General features: G+C 49.6%; 1 protein-coding gene across 16 annotated transcripts in view, besides 1 other annotated feature; it reads right to left on the reverse strand.

Moving 5' to 3' along the window:
• Window positions 1-18,720, reverse strand: part of ERI3 (ERI1 exoribonuclease family member 3) — a 134,210-nt gene that overhangs the window by 67,193 nt on the left and 48,297 nt on the right. The gene's annotated exons all lie outside the window — the stretch shown is intronic.
• Window positions 9,835-10,129: an enhancer, noted in NCBI's record as "tiled region #3045; HepG2 Activating DNase matched - State 8:EnhW". NCBI's record gives its function as "activates a minimal TATA promoter and a strong SV40 promoter by Sharpr-MPRA in HepG2 cells {active_cell/tissue: HepG2}" and the evidence as "EXISTENCE:reporter gene assay evidence [ECO:0000049][PMID:27701403]".

The following is an 18,720-nucleotide window of genomic DNA, read 5'->3' on the forward strand; positions in this document are numbered from 1 at the left end:
ACTCAGGGGCTCTAGTCACTTGCAGGTACACATGCAGTTTGTAGACTCACTCGCAGGAATTCAGGTTGCTGAGTAGTCCTCTGGGTCATCCTAGCCCTGTGACTCCAAGACACAAGCTGTACAAATGTAGCAGGGCCCAGCCCCATCTTCATGAGAGACATAGGGTCAAATGCCAGAACTTGAGCTTGCAAGTGCCTCATGGGAAGACAGTTACACATCTCTACCACACACCCTACCCCAGCTTAGAGAGGATCAAGACAGGAAATCTGTGAGGAAGGTGGGTTAGAGTGGTCATCATCCCTTACACAAAAGAGGAAACTGAGACTCAGAGAAGAAAAGGATTTGCTCAATCATACAACAAGGCAAGGGTAGTACCAGAAACAGAACCTAAAGCTTCTGACTGCACAGGCATAAGCTGTATAGATACACTCAGGGCTCTTTACAGTCCCTGGGAAGGCAAAGCCTGGGCCTTAGAGAAGCAAGTAGCATAGTGGTCACTGCTCAAGGTCACACCTGGGTTCAAGGTTCTTAGGAGCCTAAGGTCGGTGGGTATCAGTGGGTACATGGTTCCACCAATTTCTCAGAAAAAAAAAAAAAGTTCCCCAGGCACAAAGGGTCTGAATGCTGTACATTCCTACCAGATTGTGATTCCAAGAAAAGAGCCACTGGCAGTGGGCCCTGGACTAGCCTGCGGGCACAAACGTGCAGGCAGGTTTATGGTGCCCAGGTCTCCATGCAGCTGGATTCACTGGGCACAAAGCTCCCCAACTGCCCAAACATCATCTGGTCATGCTTATTATTGTTGCCCAATGAAATTTTATGCACCGAGTCCACAGGTGTGATTTCCCCTTCTTTATGAGGGCCGGAATGACATCACTGATGGCCAATAGAAAAGAGCCAATTATGTCCAGGCCATAAAAAGGAATGAGATTTTTTTCAACCAAATCAAAACTTCCTTCAGCTTCATGAATGCAAGAGGCCCCTTTAAGGAAGGGTCCCCCAGTCCTGCCTGTGGGCTCTAAACCAAGGGACATGATTGCTTTCCAAAGACTATGGGTCTAAGGCCAGAAAGGGGGTCCGCCCTTGGCATTTATCATATGATCCTGCTATTACCACACTGGCCCCTCAGGGTCACCTGAAAAGATTAACAAGCCCTACCCTCAGACCCTAACTAGCTCCTCTCTATTCCATCCAGGGAAAATGAGATGAGATACTCAAGTTCCTTTATTACTCCTTTTGAATAACAGAAAAGAAAGCAAAGAGCATTCCCCCTACTTAGAAAGAAGAGAACAATATAGAGGAAACAGGGGTGTAAGAAACTGCCCCTCACCCCTATAAGCACACAGGACAAAGCAAAAGGAGCCAGCCTTCCCCACCCCACTCCTCATTCAGCCCTACCACCTGCAACTGAGCCATACTGGCTGGGCCGAGACAGCCCTGATGGCAAACAGGTGTGGCTAGCCCGGCGCCAGCCAAGGCAGGGGATAGCTCATTAGGGGAACACCCCCCTCGCTAATGGGTATGGCCACGGTGAAGCCCTTGTGAGCGGGAGCTCAGCTTTGAAGATTAGGTGAGGCAGATGTGGGGGAGAGCTGCTAGGCTGAGGCAAGGAAAGCTGCACATCCATTGAGGTCTGCCGGACAGACTGGCAGACAGGCCAACAGCCAGGACCAGCAAAAGAGCAGGCACCATACTGGAAAAGGCGATGGACACTCTGGCTTTCATGCTTTCATCTCTTTAAGACTTAGGGGCAGACCCAACTCAGGGAGATGCATGTCATTCTCACTTTTAGCAGACTCAAACCTTTGAAGAGGAGGGAGACCAGCAGACTCTGGAGGCCTCCTTGGCTCCTTTCTCCCTCTCAAGAAAGGCTGTGGGACCTGGATCTTGGAGTGATGTGGGCTGGCAGTCCTGGTGCCCACCAGCTCCAGGACAGGCACATACTGTTCGCCTGCAGGAGCAAACTACTGTATTCCATGTGATATGCAGAAATGGGGGAGTATGGAGAGGCTCTGTCTTCTTCAAAGTCATCATGGGACCATGGAGGCACAGAAGGCCCAGGCTTGGAGAGAAGTGGGCCAGTAGAAGCCAACCAACCAGCCAGTTGGAAGATCCTGCCACAGGGACACCTGTGAGGGGTGGGTGGGCTTGCTTCCATGCAGAGTTGCCACACTTGCTCATTCCAATACACTCTCAAAGAATGCTGTCCCTAGCGGCCCTGCAGCTCATAACTGCCACGATTTCCTATGCTTCTCTCCAAGTCTTGAGCCTCAGGAAAGGGCCCATTCCCACTGGATCCCAGTCAGGGAGCCCTATCTAGTCAGAGCCTCCATGGGCAGCATGATTTGAGTCGGTATCCAGCACGTTCAGGCTACTCCAGCCGAGGCAGCACTTAGCTGGGGACACAGCTCTTTGTCTCTCCTGTTTCCATTCCCCCACCCAGAGGAGATAAACAGACCCTGGGTGATAAACAGCCCGCCTTTCATGATCACTTTTCCTCAAGTTGAGGAGAGTAGCTAGTGATGGATGGGCTGGAATTTGGTTATCAGGAAGGGCTGTCAGCCAGAGGTGCCTATCTCCTCCCCCACTACGCAGGGCATCATTACACTGTGGCATCGAGGTAAAATATGACCAAGGGGAGGGAAGGAAGAAAGAGGGGAAGGCTGAGCTTACACATGGAGCAAATTGAGCAACAATGAGAGCAGGCACGAGGCTGGGACGTTAGTTATCTGCCCGTGACACCTTTTATCTCTGCACAAATTGGTCCTTCCTCCCCCACTGCATCCTCTTATACAAACAGAGGCAGACACAATGTGTCACCACTGCAACAGCGTAGCAATTTAACCCGAATTAGTGAGGGGGTCAAGCTAGGAAATAGGGGTTTCTCATTTCAACAGGTTCCTTAGTCTCAGCTCTGAACTACCACATTGAGCGGAGGAGGGTAGAGAGAAGGCAGACTCATAATTGAATTCACTCTCTTGGCCGCTGCTGATGTATAAAAAATTAATGCATGAGCCTCCTACTTATCAAAGCTGGTTAGTATCTATCTCACCTGCAAGATCCACCATGTCAGAAGACACAGCATGGCAGGCCTAGCACTCAGTGCCTTTAGTCGGGATAGGAATCAGCAAAAACAGGAAGAGAAAAGCACTGCCCAGGTGGCCTGGAAGCATCCTCAAAGGCCATTGCAGGTTTGGTCTCAATCGATCTCCTTATAGCCAGAATCCCTTCTATGAGGCCTTATTTGTAAAGCATGTTACCCTTGGTTGGCCATAAACCCCTGCAGAAGCCTACAGGATAGAGTGCTGGCGAGGGCTGGGGATACTATAGGAGATCACATCAAAGCTGGTCCTTGACAGTTCAAGAATACACTTCAGCCTACACAGAAAAAAGGCTGGCTCCACCTCCAACAGAAGATGTCCAGGTTGTTTTATGAATAACCCCTCAGACAGAGAGTCCCACACTGCTGCGCCTGAAACTGAGGATGCCATTGGCAGCACTGATGGCACTGACAAGGCAAAACAGCAAGGAGGAGAGGAGCCTGGCCTTTTCCCCAGTGACCTCGCCTACTGCAGGACCTGGAGTTACAGATGGAGAAGGCACCTTGGGACTCATTCTCCCCATCAAAGTCCCCTGATGGTGGGGCATGCGGTTCAACCCCTGTCCAGTACCACAGCTCCACTACACTAAGATAACTTGGTCAAATGACCATGTGTCCTGGGGTAAGTGACTTCACCTCCATGCCCTGCTCTGTGAGGGTTAAAGGAGCCAACCAAGGGTAACATGCTTTACAAATAAGGCCTCATAGAAGGGATTCTGGCTATAAGGAGATCGATTGAGACCAAACCTGTAATGGCCTTTGGAGATGCTTCCAGGCCACCTGCATTGACAAGACAGTGCCTTGGTCAGGAAAAGGATACTGGAGAAGGCTTGCTGGGGGTGACAGGAAAAGGGAAAGTTCCAGAACCACTCCACAGCTGCAAAACAAATTCCAAGAAGCTTGGGCTGAGGGAAGGAGATATGAATAGAGGAAGCACCTTGGGACTCATTCTCCAAATCCAAAGAATCAGCACACAAATACCAAGGAACAAAAGCCAAGACCCCAGGCCAGACACAAAATGAGAGAGCTTTCTACCTCAACCGACCACTTTATATTCAGGAGTATCACTGAGACCCAGGACCCTCAGACAGAGGCTAGTGGAACCTGATTTCTCTCTTGAGAGAGCTTCCAGGCCCACTCAGAAGATAACCATAGCAGACACAGAATGGTCACTGCAGGAGTGACTACTGAGAAGTGGCCATCTCACTTCTGCTGGTGGGAGGGCAATGTCAAGGGCACTCAGAGACTCAGCTGCAATTCCCCAGGCTCAAGCAAGTGTGCGTGCATGCACACGTGCGGTCCCTCCATTCTCCTCTGCCTGCCCACAGCCCTGGGGGGAATGCACTGCTGACTTATCAGCCCACTTTGCCCCCACACTTGCCCCCTTCCTCTGGGACGGCTGCAGGTTACAATTCCAACCACAGGCTTCAGAAAGATGATACACTTGCTGGAGCCTGCAAAGGGTCAGGAGAGAGTACTGTTTGAAATACCAGCATGACAGCTGGCTCCTTGTCTGTCTCTTCCTCCCCAACCCCCTCCCCAAACTTGTCATGGTACAAGAAGTCTATAAGCAGCCCATCAGCTTTAAATATCAGTGTGCGTGAAGCAGGAGCACGAGAGCAAGGGAGCGGGAAGCCGACAGCGAGCGCCTCTGTCGCCACTGCCTGTCAGGGAACACTAATGAATTTCACCACCAACAGCCAGGCTTCAGATGGGGGTGAGCTGGGGGCTGGAGGGTTTTCTAGGGAGAACTCTGGCAGTATTAAAACATATTTTCCCAAAGCCCTGTTAATAAATGTCATGGCGGAGCTGAGAACTATGGCCTACCACCAGGACTTCAATGGCAGAAAGGGGTGGGGCAAGCCCCGCTGTCCTCTCAAACAGGGAGGAGAGTGCAAGCATGATGCTGGAGGGAGCTGGCTGAGCCCCAAGGTGAGGCCGGGTGACCTCGGCAAGCCTCTCACTTTGTCTTGCCACCATTACCCTTCCACATCTCATCAAGGTCTTGGGATGCCTTGTTGAGAGGACTAGGATAAGAAGGAAAGGCCTGAGGCAGGGAGAGATGACCAGCTGTGCCTTCCTGGCCAGACTTACCACCCACCCCACCTCAACCAACTTCAGCTCACTCACTTCACAGTGAGGCCCCACGGCAAGGGGTTACAGGTCATGCTTCCAGATCCAGGCGAGGTGGGGTAAGAAACTCTGGCACCAGTCCTAACAGGAAGCTACATTTCCCCCACAGATGTCAGGAGCCAGAGCTCCTTATTATTTTACAGATAAAGGAATGGAGGATGAGAGTGGGAATGTGACTTTCCCAAGACCCTACAACTAGAAAGCAGTAAAGCCAGGAATCGAAACTAGGTCTCTTCATTCTAAAAGCCCTGTTCTTTCCACAATGCCACACAGCTTCTTTGAGGAAGGGCTGATCACCTCACTGTCTCCTGTGTGTCCTCTACTCTCAGGCTCTGCCCTTCCCCTCCACTTCCCCCTACTGGTACACACGCACCTCTGGCCTGGCACGGGTCACGGCTGCCATGTAACACTGGGCTGGGCTCCAGGCCAGGGTGAACCCAGCCGGGCAGAGAAAGCCCTGGGAATGAGCCAGGCCATCACCTGGGAGTCTCCACAGCTCACAGGACATGGCTGCAGGCATAAGCCCTCCCACGGGTGCCCTCTGCACAGCTCTGAGCAGGAGTGTCTGATCTGGCAGCGACCTGCTGTGCAGGGGGCAAATGACATTTAATTTCCTCTTGGTTTCCCTATAGTACAGATGAAAGGCCGTCACCTGCGTCTGGGTCTGGCGGCACAGCTGGAAGTGTTCCCAGACATGCTACTCTGGAGAGTTCCCAACAGAAACCAGAACACAGGCAGTGCAGAGGGATGCTCCATGGTCCAGGCTGCTGGTGCCATGTTGCTCAAATCCCTAGTGCCAAAGTTGCTCAAAGTCTCCAAAAGACACTGTATATGCATATAGCGCCTCCCTGATCCATGGCTCTTTATCCTATCTGCCAACTGTCTCTCATTTCTTCCCTATGGAGACCATATGAAGCATACAAGTGCCACAAACACGCTGTGGAACCATATGACAAGCACCTCCCCAGTGCCACAAATAGTCCTTAAAATTCTGTAACTTGTATCTCCCCAGCCCCTCTCTAGGGAAATAATAAGACAAGTGCCTCTCCGGTGTCCTTTCCATGGCAACTCATCAGGGAAAGGCACAGTGCCCCATCTGTCATGACTGTAGAAGTGCTGGAGCTGCCACCAGGGCCTGGCCAGAGCTCTCTTTCCTAGATGGAATGGCAGAAGCCCCAGTAGGGAGTGGCTATGGAGAGGAGGCTGAGCAAGTGATGGGAGGTTTCCAAGACACTGTGGTCAGTGCCTCAGCTAATGAGCTATTCTCTTTTTGGCCAGGGAAACCAGGAGCTCCTTAGCAGATTGAGCTGTCTCCAAGATAACTCACTCATCCCACTACAGTCTTCCCCTGGCCTGTGGCCATCTTGACCCTATGCCTGAACTGCCGTTGTGTGGCCTATGATGCCCTCTGGAGGCTCCGCAGAGAGGCATCCTCCTAGCGTTCAGGATCTGGGTTGCAGTCTGACCTCCGCTCTCATATAGGTACTCAAGACACAGCTGTACCCTTAACCTTCTAGCTGGTCTCCTCTGCCCTGATTCCAGCTCCCCTGACACCTTCAAGAGGTATAAGCACTTGTCCTATACAGAGTAAGACTTCTGGGCGGGCATTAGAATAGGCTAGTGATTTTTAAAGTGTGCTCCATGGAGTTCTAGGGTTCTAAGGAGGAACATCAGGCTACTTCATGGACTGGGGGAAAAGGAGGAAGAATGGGAGAGGAAGAATGGGCAGGGCTTTTCCCCATCTTCAACCAGATTCACATTGGGCTTTAAAATTCTGTTCAAAAGAAAAAAAAGTTTAGTACTAAAAAAAATACTACCATTCCATCTCTCTACAGTGCTCCTCTGGATTCTCACAGCATTTGTGTTGTGCCTTCATTGTAGTGTTTTCATACTCTACCTTACTTACCCTATAGTTAGGTATATGTGTGCTGGTCTTTCTGTCCTGATCACTTGGCAGTCCCCATAGTCCCCAGCACAGTACTTACAGGGCCCAGAGCAGCTCTCAACAGGTGCTGACTTTAGGCTACTACCGGAATGCCAGCACTTCCGGGATATGCTGGGGTCAGCACCTTCAATGGCAATTTCCAACAGGATTCCTTGGGAGAGAAGAGCTGCAGTGGAGGGTAACTGATATTTACTGAAAGGTCCTCGTGAAGATGTATATATAGCACATGACACTCTTAAATCAATGAATGGGACACATCTGCTACCACGAGCAATCATCTAAATCAACTTTCAGGGGACCAAACAGACTTTTGCATTTGGCCAATCTTTGGGAAAAATGCAACAAATTTCAACAGGAAACATCACTCATTAGAAGCTTCCAAACCCTGTGTGTGGGACCATGGGAACATAGGATGATGTTCATCAGCTGAGCATTCAAGGGTCTGTCCCCTGGCTTCCTGTAGCCTGTAAAGGAATCACTAGTCCCATGATTCTGGCTATAGGACTGACAATGGGTAAAGCCCCTTGGCCCCATCAACCAAGCCTACTGCGTGGGCCTCCTTCTCCAGCTAGGTTTAGGGAGGGGGCCAGGAAGGCAAGGGACTGTGCTCGTCCTAGCTAAAGCCACTTGTTAATAGGCCCTAGATTCCTTTATCCCTGGGGAAAGGAAGGTAGCAATGAGCTCTCTTCTCCACCCCCCTCCACCGTGCCTCCCAGCAGTGCCAGGGAGGACAGCCATTAGTGTGTGCCTCAGCAGACAATGGGGAGGAGAAGTCTCCAGAGCAAAGGACAACTGCAGCAATTAGAATGCAGGGAGGTTCAGAAGCTATTTAACTGGGTGACCCCTGAGGTCGCTGCATCTGACTCCCATCCCTGGATAAATATTGTATGAGAGGGGAGGGGGCGAGCGAGGGAGCCAGAATGCTGCTCCTCCTTCCATTCCTTTCCCCACCCCACGCGCTGCCTCCAGCCACATACACCAGGAACATTATTTACAGTCCTGACAGTCAGAGCAATCACTCTGCTAACCAAGAGGGAATGGACAATGTCGACTTACCAAAAATTGACTATGGCAATTGAAGAAGAAACCAGAGCTGAGCCAACACAGATGCAAGGCTCCCTCCACAATCTGGGTCCAGTTGAAGCAAATGTTCTGTAACCCTAAAACCCAAAACTACTGGCAGGTGAAGCTGGTCTCAATGGCAGAGAGTAAATCAGAAAAATAGAGCATCCTTCCACCTTTTAGGGGCCCCATAATGGAAAACTCCTGGCTCTCATCACTACCTAGGTGCTCCTTGGCAAAGATGGGAGTCCTAGCTACCTGCCCAGAGGAAGCCAAACCAGCTACATGCCACTTGTCCAGCTTGCCCCTTAGCTGACCTAGTTGGGAAAGGCCAAGAGCAAGAAAGTCAGATATTGCAGAAAGGGGTCAGGGTGGTGGAAGAAGAGAGTGTTTGAGTGCAGGCTGTGCCTCAGCCCCCACATGCACCGCTCCTCCAGTCCTGCTCTAATGCACCCTGACATGCCTCTGAAGACAGAGAGCTGTTTGCAGTCAGCACCGTGATTTGTTAGTAATTATTTCCATGGTGTCACATTGCTGTCACTCTGTTAACAAAGAGACAGGCTGCCTCGGGCTGCCTGCGAGAAAGAAATCGCAGAGAAAAAGGCCTGTCAGGCTCCCGGGATTCTCTGGGCTGGCTGGCTTTCTTCCCCAAACCAACATCCTCGCAAGCTTTGGAAGAAACAGTTTTACAGAACTATCAAGTCTGAGTTGTGTCACCCTTTAGCCAGGGACACTGAGAATTTATCCCACCCACTCATAGTTGCCCTTCCCAAAGCCCTACAAAGCTAAGCCCCCAGAGTCCACAAATCATTCAGGCATGGGCCACTATGCCAGGTGAAGCCTTGAGTTCCCCAGCCTTCAACTCCTAAGACCTCTGCTCCCTGACTCATCATCTTCACTGGGGTGTTCACAGCCTCTCATGTGCTCTTAGGAACCCGACCAAAGAAACCTAATTCAGACCAAGCAGAAGCAGCCACCCTATTGGCATGGCTGGGGAATAAGAAGAATATGATGGCAGGGCATCTTTGCCTCTTGAATCTGCCAGCCCCAGTTCAGGAGCATAGTGGCTCAGGTGCCAACACCCCTGTAGCCTTCATGTGCCTCTGCATCTGTGAAGAGACACTTATGGAGCTGTCTCCGCATGTGACCTGTCTTTCCCAGTGCCTGGATCTGCATAGCATCTGCACTAGGAGAACTGGTGGTTTGCTTTAGCACAAAGTAATGTCTCCATTACCCTGGCTGGGAATTAGAGGACAGATTGGCAAGCGCTGACAAAACAGAGGTCACTCACCTTACAGGCATGGAAAGTTGGAGATTAATTCTCTCCTCTCACAGAGGGAATCAGACTCCAGGATAGTGGAAGGGAAGCACCAATATTGAGAAACCCTTTCACTGCCAAGCAGCAGCAACAGCAGCTAATGTCACCCGTACCAATATCAGCAGAAAAGGAAGATAAAAGGCCACAAGCCCTAGAGAAGTCCTGCCAAGGTGGCAAGGGCTTTGCCATCTAGCTCCTGCAGAATCCCAAAGGACAGAAGAGCCTGGACATGACTAGGATTCTTCAAGCATTAGGTCCAAAAGGCAGACAGCTGCAAGCACTGGAATGCAAACTCCATGAAGGCAGGATGTCTGGGAAGTTTTCTTTCTTTATTCACTGCTGTATCCTTAATACCTAGAGCAGTGCAGAGCACATAGCAGGTTGTCAACACATCTGCTGAAAGAATAAATAAATGAGTCAATACAGCTCAAAGGCCACTTCCACAGGGGCCAGTCTCTCCCTATCACAAGACCTCAGAGAAGAGGGAGGACAGTGTGGGTTCCAGAATAGACAGGGAAGACCACATGGCCAAAGGACTGGAATTAGATTTGAAAGGGTGAGGGGGATTGGGACAAGCTGATGGGCATAGGGAGATTCTCATATTAAATTGAAGATTCACATATTCATTCAGCAAACATATACTAAATAACTAAATACAGTATAATAGATGTTCCAACAAAAAAAGAATAAATAAAATGTAGTATAATACAATGGAATACTACACAGAAATATAATAAAAAGCCTAAATTCTTGATACATACAATGCACAGGAATCTCCTATACATTATGTTATGCAAAAGAAGTCAGACACAGGTCGGGTGCGGTGTCTCATGCCTGTAATCTCAGCACTTTGGGAGGCCAAGGCAGGCAGACTGCTTGAGCTCAGGAGTTCGAGACCAGCCTGGGCTACATGGCAAAACCCCGTCTCCACAAAAAAAAATACAAAAACTAGCTGGGCGCAGTGGCATGTACCTATAGTCCCAGCTACTCGGAAGGTTGGGGTGAGAGGATGACTTGAGCCCACGGAGGTAGAGGTTGCAGTGAGCCAAAATCATAGCACTGAACTCTAGCCTGGGTGAAAGAAGTCAGACACAAAAGAGTATGCCTTGCATGATTCCATTTATACGAAAGCCAACAATAGGTAAAAACTAACCAAAACTAACAGAAGTCAGAACGGTGGTTAGCTGGCAAGGGGAAGGCATCACTGACTGGGAAGAGGCACGAGGGAACTTTCTGGGATGATGAAAAAGGTTCTTGATCTTGACCTGGGTGGTAGTTACCCAGGTGTATACTTGTATAAAAATATATTGAGCTATATACACTTCACATTTGTGTATTTATGCATCTGTACCTATTTCATACCTCAATTTTTTTTTTTAAGAGACAGGATCTTACTCTGTTGTCCAGGCTGGAGTACAGTGGCACAATCATGGCTCATTGCAGCCTCAAACTCCTGGGATCAAGCAATCCTCCAGCCTCAGCCTCCTGAGTAGCTAGGATTATAGGCATGTGCCACCACACCAGGTTATTTTTTATTTTTATTTTTATTTTTAATAGAGACAGGGCCCTGCTACCTCAGGCTGGTCTCAAACTCCTGGCCTCAAACAATCCTGCTTCAGCCTCCCAAAGCACTGGGATTCCAGGTGTGGGCCACTATACCAGACCTCAATTTTTTTTAAAGACCCAAAAACTAGCTGATGTTCAAAAAGGGTTTTAAAAAAACACAGATCTAAGCAATATCTCATACAAAGGAAAATATTTTCCAGGAGCACCAGTGGTTCCTTCTTGGAGCTTGGGAAAAAAGGTCTTCCAGCCTTCACTCTCTATCTGACAGAAGTCAGAAAGGCCCAAGCAAATGGGCCTAGGAAGGTGAGAAATGTTCAAAATACAAAAGAGTAGAGCCCGGGTCCCCCACCTAGGAGGTTGTGGCCTGGTGGGAAGCTGCATGGAACCTCTATTCCATGCCAGGTGAGCTATAGGAAAGCAGAGATAGGTCATACAGTCCAGCCAGGTGCCCAGCTGGTTCTGAGGCCCTCTGAAGCAGCCTGTCTGTTGGATTCCGCCACAGAATACAGAACCAGACTTCCAAAGACTGCCCTGAAGAGCCACCAACATAGGATCCAATTTGTCTTCCTGACAAACCAGGCAGAGACCGGCTGAGTTAGCCCAACTCTGGGCTAAGGTGAAAGTCTCAGAACATACAGCCCCTCCAGCCAGCAAGGAGGAGGTGATAAGACTCTCATCCATGGTCAAGGGGAGAGCCTCATATCAAATCCAGGGCCAGAACCAAGGCAGCAACACTTGCTTCTGGACCAGTTAAGCAGTAAAGAACCACTCAGTTATCAACTCAGGCCAAAGCATGAGGCTCCTACTGCCTTGAACATCTTGAAGCCTGATCAGTCATTAAGCAAGTACCTTTACCTTTTATCAGGGTTTTCACTGAGCAGAATTTCCATTCCAGGGGTTCCTATAATCACTACAATGATTTAGACCCTCTGACACCTTCCTAGTGGGTGAAGAAATGAGGTTGCCACTGGGGTTCCACCCTACAGCCTAGAAGTGCCCAGAAAGTAAAATGCCAGAGGCCCTGTCTGCCACGGAGGGGTTGTGCTTGTTGATCAGACAGCAGAGCTTCTCTCCCAGTCCCCATTGAGGCACAAAGTCCTTCCAGAGCAGAGCAACTATCCCAAACTCAGGCTCTGAGGGAAGGACATGGGGTGAGACGCCTGTTGACTTGCAGCTCCAGGATCACATGGATAAGTGTGAAGGGAGCCAAGGTTGGGAACCAGAAGAGATGCTTTGGCTCCACAGAAACCTGCTCCTACCCTCAGGCCTGCATCTAGGAAATGGTTAATCCCCAGCCAAGCCCACCATCAGGAGCCCCTTTAGTGCCAGTTCTGGGCCCGGGGACATGTGCAGGAGGGGGCTTTCATGTTTGTGAGTAGGCTAGCCCCAGGGGCATCAGGCAGAGGCGGAGCACCCCTAGCTCCTCCAAGCCCAAGAACTCTCAGCCCAAGGAGCTGTCAGGCTAACGAGGCTACCCCACCACCACTCCATCTGAGCGTGGCAGGCTGCACTGCACGACTGGCTTCAGGTGGCTCTTCTTTAATTAATGGCATCCCGGGCTCTGCAGGGAGCTTCACCCCACAATGAATGGCCCTCTCTCATTAGAGGCAAGCCTGCCATGATGTATTCAGGGTGAGGGCCAGGATTCATTTCCCTGTCTGTGGGTTGGGGATGGGAGGGAGGGGAGGGGCAGCAGGGAGAGATTTATATCGAGTGACTTGGATTAGCTGCAGCTGAAACATGACCCCATCAACTCACGCTGCCTTCTTGGGGCTAACCCGGTGCACCTCTGCTGACAGAGGGCTCTAGGGAAACTGAAAGGAGGGCAGAAGGTCTGGTTCCCACTCTCTCTGAGCTCAGACTACAACTCTAAGGCCCAGAATTCCTATACAACCTTCAGAACCTCCTCCCCCTGCCCCCACTGTGCACTGGGAGCCTGGGCTGATTCTGAGCCAACCTTACCCATCAAGAGACTTTTTATGGCCAGGAAGCTGACCCACTGCCCTCATGTTCACAGGACTGAGGCCCTGACTACAGCCTCAGTTGGCTTTTCTGCTTTTGTGGTAAGCAATACCCTCATTCCTTACCTCAGAGAAGGAGGCCATGACATAATTTGCCCCTGTAACTGCCACCTGGATAGGACCCAAATATGTACTGCCACAGGGCATCTCAGACCTCAGGCCATCCCACACTAGGGAAAAGGCTCCAGGCATCCGTCTGACACAAAAACATGCAATCAGCCATTACCTCACTAGGACGATCCACTATGCTGAACCCCACCTCCAGGGTGGGGAGGTTCTGGGCACGCTATTCTACTTCCCTCCACTACCCTGACCCACCCACTCCAATGGCTGAGGAGGAATTGCGGTCTTCTAGGTAAAAAGAGAAATTGGGGCCTTTGGCTATCCAAGTTTCCGATGTACTTCTCACAGACTTGGAAAGGTCACCCTGCACTCTGCTAGCCACATAGGTGGTTGTAGGCCTAGGAGCTAGGTTGATTCAGACTGGTAGCAAACAGCACACAGCCCTACAAATTCCTCATGCAAATATCACTAAATATGACTTTCAACTTCGCTTGTGCTTGGGAGAAAAATACTTCAGAACCTGCCCTCTTTCCATTCTCAGCCCCCTTAGAATGCCCAATTCACTAAGAGAGCTGGAGGGTGGGCTTTCACCTGTCCCTGTCGGCCAATCAGAAGGCTGCCTGGCAGGCCTGCTGTGTCCCTAGGAAGGCCAGGCAATGCCTATCATCTGCACACGTTCACTCCATGTCATCCATGCTTCTTCCTGGCCGTTGTGGAGAAGCATTCATATCTCTTTCCTTCCCTACTCAGAAAGAGATGTAGCTCAGTTCTGCTTTGCTAAGCCCTATTTGGCAATATGTCTAAAAACATGCAAACTTAATTAGTTCAGGAGGGGAGCCCAAGCACTTGCAATGACAGATAAAAGTAATGGGAAATGAGACAAGTCAGGACTGGCAGGGAGTTCTTACTCAAGCCCCTTCCCCCAGCAGGCTGCTAATCAAAGGTGATGCAGCTCAGTGCTGGTACCAACTGGTACACCTGTGGGCAAGGGGCAACGGTGCGATGCCCCATGTGCTTCCAAACATAAATACAGAATAGAGGTGTCCAAAGTGAAGTTGGCTGAGGTTTCCTTAAAACAGACCTGAAGATTCATTAACTTGTAACCCTGGAAGGAGGCTCTCAGGCAGCCCCTAATCATCCCCACCACATCTCCTGGCCAACTGGGCTCCCATATCAAATGAACTTAACAGTCCACACCTCTACCGATATCAAATGAGGAACCAACAGCCCACGGTGTCAGAAAACATCCTGAGGCTCTGCCACTCAGTGCAAACAAAGGAGAGGAGAGGGGCATTCCCACCGTGTATCACCAAACCACAGCCCATGAAGGAGGACGGTCAGACAGGACTGTCGTTAAACACATGGTTCTAGAGTCAGAATGCTCAGGTTCAAATCCCTGCCCTGCCACAAACAGGTTATGTGCCCTTGACAAATTACTTACCTCTCTAGGCGTCAGTTTCCTCATTTGTTAAAAAAGGATTATAAAATGAACTTATTCCACAGAACTGTGGTAAGGACTAAATGACATCATATGTGTAAACAGCACAATAGGGCTCCTGGTAAGTAATAAGTGCTCAATAAACACTCTCTTTATTCTCTGATGTTCACTTTTCCAGGAGTCCCAACCCTCAGTTCTGGAGGCACAAATCTCTCAGAGAAAGCATTTCGCACTGCTCCTGGGACCAAGCTCCTCCTCCCTGGCCTAAGCCTGTGGGCTATCTCACCCAGTACTCACCATGGAGGGCCCAACACACAGTGGCAGTGAGAAAATCCAGGGCTTCCTGACATTAGCAGCATAGTTCTCTAACTCTTCACATTCAGGCTGGTGTAGCAAGGCCTGAGAATTCCTCCTCTAGTCTATTTGTCCTGTACACTGGCAATGAATGCTTCCTAAATCTACCTACTAACAGTCCTCTGTTGTTCTTCCTGAGCAGAGATTCCACAGGAACACTCCATTACTTAGTTGTCACTTATTCAACAGTTATTTATTGAACAACTACTATGTGTCAAGCCTTGTCCTTGTCCTAGGGTTACAACAGTGCTCACAATCTAGTGCGAGAGAAAGACAAGTAGAGGCAGTCACAGCACCATTTTATGTATTAATGTGTACATGTGCTCCAGGAAAACAAAGGAAGGCACCTAGAGAAAGAAGAGGGATCACTAGGAACTGGCCAGCTCATGCATGTGGCTGGTGGGGAGGGGTGTGGGGGTGCCACAGAGAGTAATGAGAAGTGAGGCTAAAGATGTAAGCAAGAACCTTGAAAGTCCCAATAAACAGTTTGGACTTTACCCTTGAGGGCAAGGGCAAACCTTGAAAGGTATTAAGCCGAGGGGTGACATAATCTGCTGCAATTAGGAGAATGGAATAGGAGCAGCAAAACTGGACTCAAAGAGACTAGTTAGAAGACTTTTGTAGCAATCCAAGAAGAATATGATCATCTTGACTAGGGCAGGGCAGTAGGGATGGGAAGAAAGGAATAAATCTGAGAAACCTCTGGGAGGCAGAAGCAACAGGATTTGGCAATTAATTGGTGTGGATAGAGAAGGGATAATTTTCAGATTTCCGACAGAACAACTCAGTAGGTGGTGCCAGTCATTATTTGAGGGAATGATGGAGGACAGGGTGTGAGGAGAAAGATAAACATCTGAGCTTGAAGGGGCCTATGGACGTCTAGGTGGAGATGTAGAGTAGGTAGCTGGATACGCAGGTGTGGCGTTTAGGTGGCAGATGAGCCCGATTTCTTTTCTCCAGTTGGAGAAAAAGATTAGAAGACATCAGCATACAGAGGATAGTTGAAGCTATGGCAAAGACGAGATCACTCTGGTAAGTGTGAATGTGTAGAATAAACAGAAAAGACAACCAGGATAGAGATCAAAGAAACACCACTATTTAAGAAACACCAACATGAAAACAAGGAAGGAAATAAGTATTAATATCTACCCAAGTGACTGAGGAGGAGAAGCCAGAGAAACAGAAAACATAACAAAAGTACAGATAAAGATGATTTCAAGAAGACTGAAGTAGTCAGCTGTTGAGCAATGCCAAGAGGACTCAGCCCGACCCGCAGCAAGCACGTCACTAGGCCACCCTTCCAGCCATCTTCCACATCCCCACAGGACGGTCACTACCCCACAGTGCTCGCCCAGGTGCGTGGTTCCATCGTGGCACCTTTCACTCCAGGTAGCAGCAGTCTCTTCAGTGGTCTTGACCGCTTGACAGCAGCCTCGAAGAAACCTCAGTAGCCCCTGCTGAGTGCATGCTCCCCATCTCCAACAGTGATAGTGTAATCTGGGCAAGTATCTTTCCATCTCCAGACCTCCTAAAACCTGAAGTGAACTTCAGGTCCACACCTGCAGAGCACAGCCAGAATGTAGTATGCACACCCCAGCAAGAAGGCAGGGGAAAAAAAGGAAGTCAAATGCCTGCATTTATGTGTTCAACCTCTCTCCTCCCTCAAGGGGGAGGAAAACTTCCTGCTCCAAAACTGAGGCTGAGCCTAAGTGAGGGTCCTCTCACCAGACTCTGAGCAGGCCCCTGGCCCCTATTCCACCAGAGAACAGCATCTGATTATCCTACCCTCTCCAAAGGGGCCTCTTCCCAGACTGCACTAAGGGCTAGGGCCTCCCTCAGGTCAGCTCTTTCCCTCCAGTCTTTCCCTCTTCTCAATCTTCCTTCTTCTCAGACTCACGGCCCACTGGGAAAGCCTCTAGTCTAGGTTCTCAGCCGTGCTGTGCTACATGGCTGGTGAACCTGGATCTTCAAGCTACAGGCTAAAATCTAAGTTCCTCAAGTGGGTGCCTGTGCAGGTGTCCCTTCTCAGTCTACACCAGCGCTAACCCCACCACCATACCAAAGATGGAGCCCTTTGAAAGTGGCACTTTCTACCTGGGTAAGCAGAGAAACAACACCAAACCCTATGGGAAGCTTCAAGAAACACCAAGCAAGGCGAAGAAAAAGTGGGTCAGGTAGGGAAGGCAAGCTGACCAAGAGCCAGACCCACAACAAGTGTTGTTTCTTGAAAAAATTGAGAGGGGAAATTAAATCCACATCACTAAATAAAAACTCGCCTTAGCAGGATCTGTGACTACACAACAAAGCCCACGTAAACTTGGAGAATCAACTCATCTGGCTTTGACAAAAGATGGACATAAAATGATTTGTCAGGATGGGAGCAGATTTCTTTTCTCCAGTGGGATTTATGCTGCCACTTCAGTTCCCATTTCTCAGTGCCCCACTTATCAGCCCCTTTCCAACAAAAGTGATGTGAAGCTGCTGAGGGGAGAAGGGGAGGAGGAGGTAAGGACAGCAATGAGAAGGAACCATGGCTTCCGGAAACTAGAGTGTGAAATGAAAATGTTTGCTGAATTCCTAAGACTTAGTTAAATCTGAAAATGGATGTCAAAATAAGAAGTAAGCCACAGACTAACAAGTTGTGAGTGTCAATTTAACACCACCCTTGTCAGGCTCATCTGCAGCCTTTACCGGGCGCATAAAAAGGTGATGGCTCTGACGAGAGCCATCTGACGAGCCTCTGCCGAGGTTCCAGGAACACCGATTAGCTGTGCGCTGTCACGCAGCACTACTTAGGTTTCCTCTCCGGCTGTTTTTATTTTGTTACACATTTAATTAAGAGCCTTCCCAGCAGTTATGCAGAGACCTGCTTATAAGAGGCAGCCACAGAGCTCCCTCCCCCAAGCCCTGCCACCTGCTTCCTTTCTGAAAACCCTTTTCTGAAGCTTCATCAGCCTTCCCAGTCCAAACCCAAACCAGCCCACAAAGTCTGCCCTACCCATCTCTTTTGGAAACTACACGGTCTTAGAATTCAATTCTGTCTAGCTACACGTCTTTAGCTCTCTGAGCCACAGGGGTTTTTGGTTTGTTTCATCTATAAAAGAAAGACAATACCACCACCCACCAGAGACGGCAGTCAGAAGGTGCGGATGCGGTAAGGTATGCGCTCATTAAGACTTGGCTTCCTTTCATATATGGTTGGGTTCCACAACTCAATCTCTTTTCTTGATGATATCATTTTTCAGGAAGAGGCAGGGCAATCTCCTGGGTCACCAACACCTGTCCAGGGCCCACTGTGCTACAGAACAGGTCAGACCAAAAGAAGACAGCACCCTCTGAAATTCCCTCTCCATCTCATGGGGAGACCAACTCCAAGCTTATAGTCTCCAACCTCATGCACGGGAAAGTTTTCATATACACATATATGTACGCATCGTGCACAGTTAAAGTAGAAGATTCTGAAATGTCTGTGTTTGGAAGGTGAAGACGCCAAAGAGAGAACAACACTGGATGAAGGGAGTCCTGGTGAGGCTACCTGGAGGAAGTGGACCTCTGGACTGGGCCAAAGGGCCTTCCTCCTGGGCCATATGAACCCCAGAATTCTGGGTATCAGCCTGAAACTGGCCCCACCTTGAGTAGCTTCTCTTGGGCTACAGAAATCCACATTAAGTCCCTTCCTCACTTTAAGGACTCAAAGCTGCCCAGGACGCTATTAACAAG

The sequence above is a fragment of the Homo sapiens genome, chromosome 1, assembly GCF_000001405.40.
Source record: "Homo sapiens chromosome 1, GRCh38.p14 Primary Assembly".
Taxonomy (NCBI): Eukaryota; Metazoa; Chordata; class Mammalia; order Primates; family Hominidae; genus Homo; species Homo sapiens.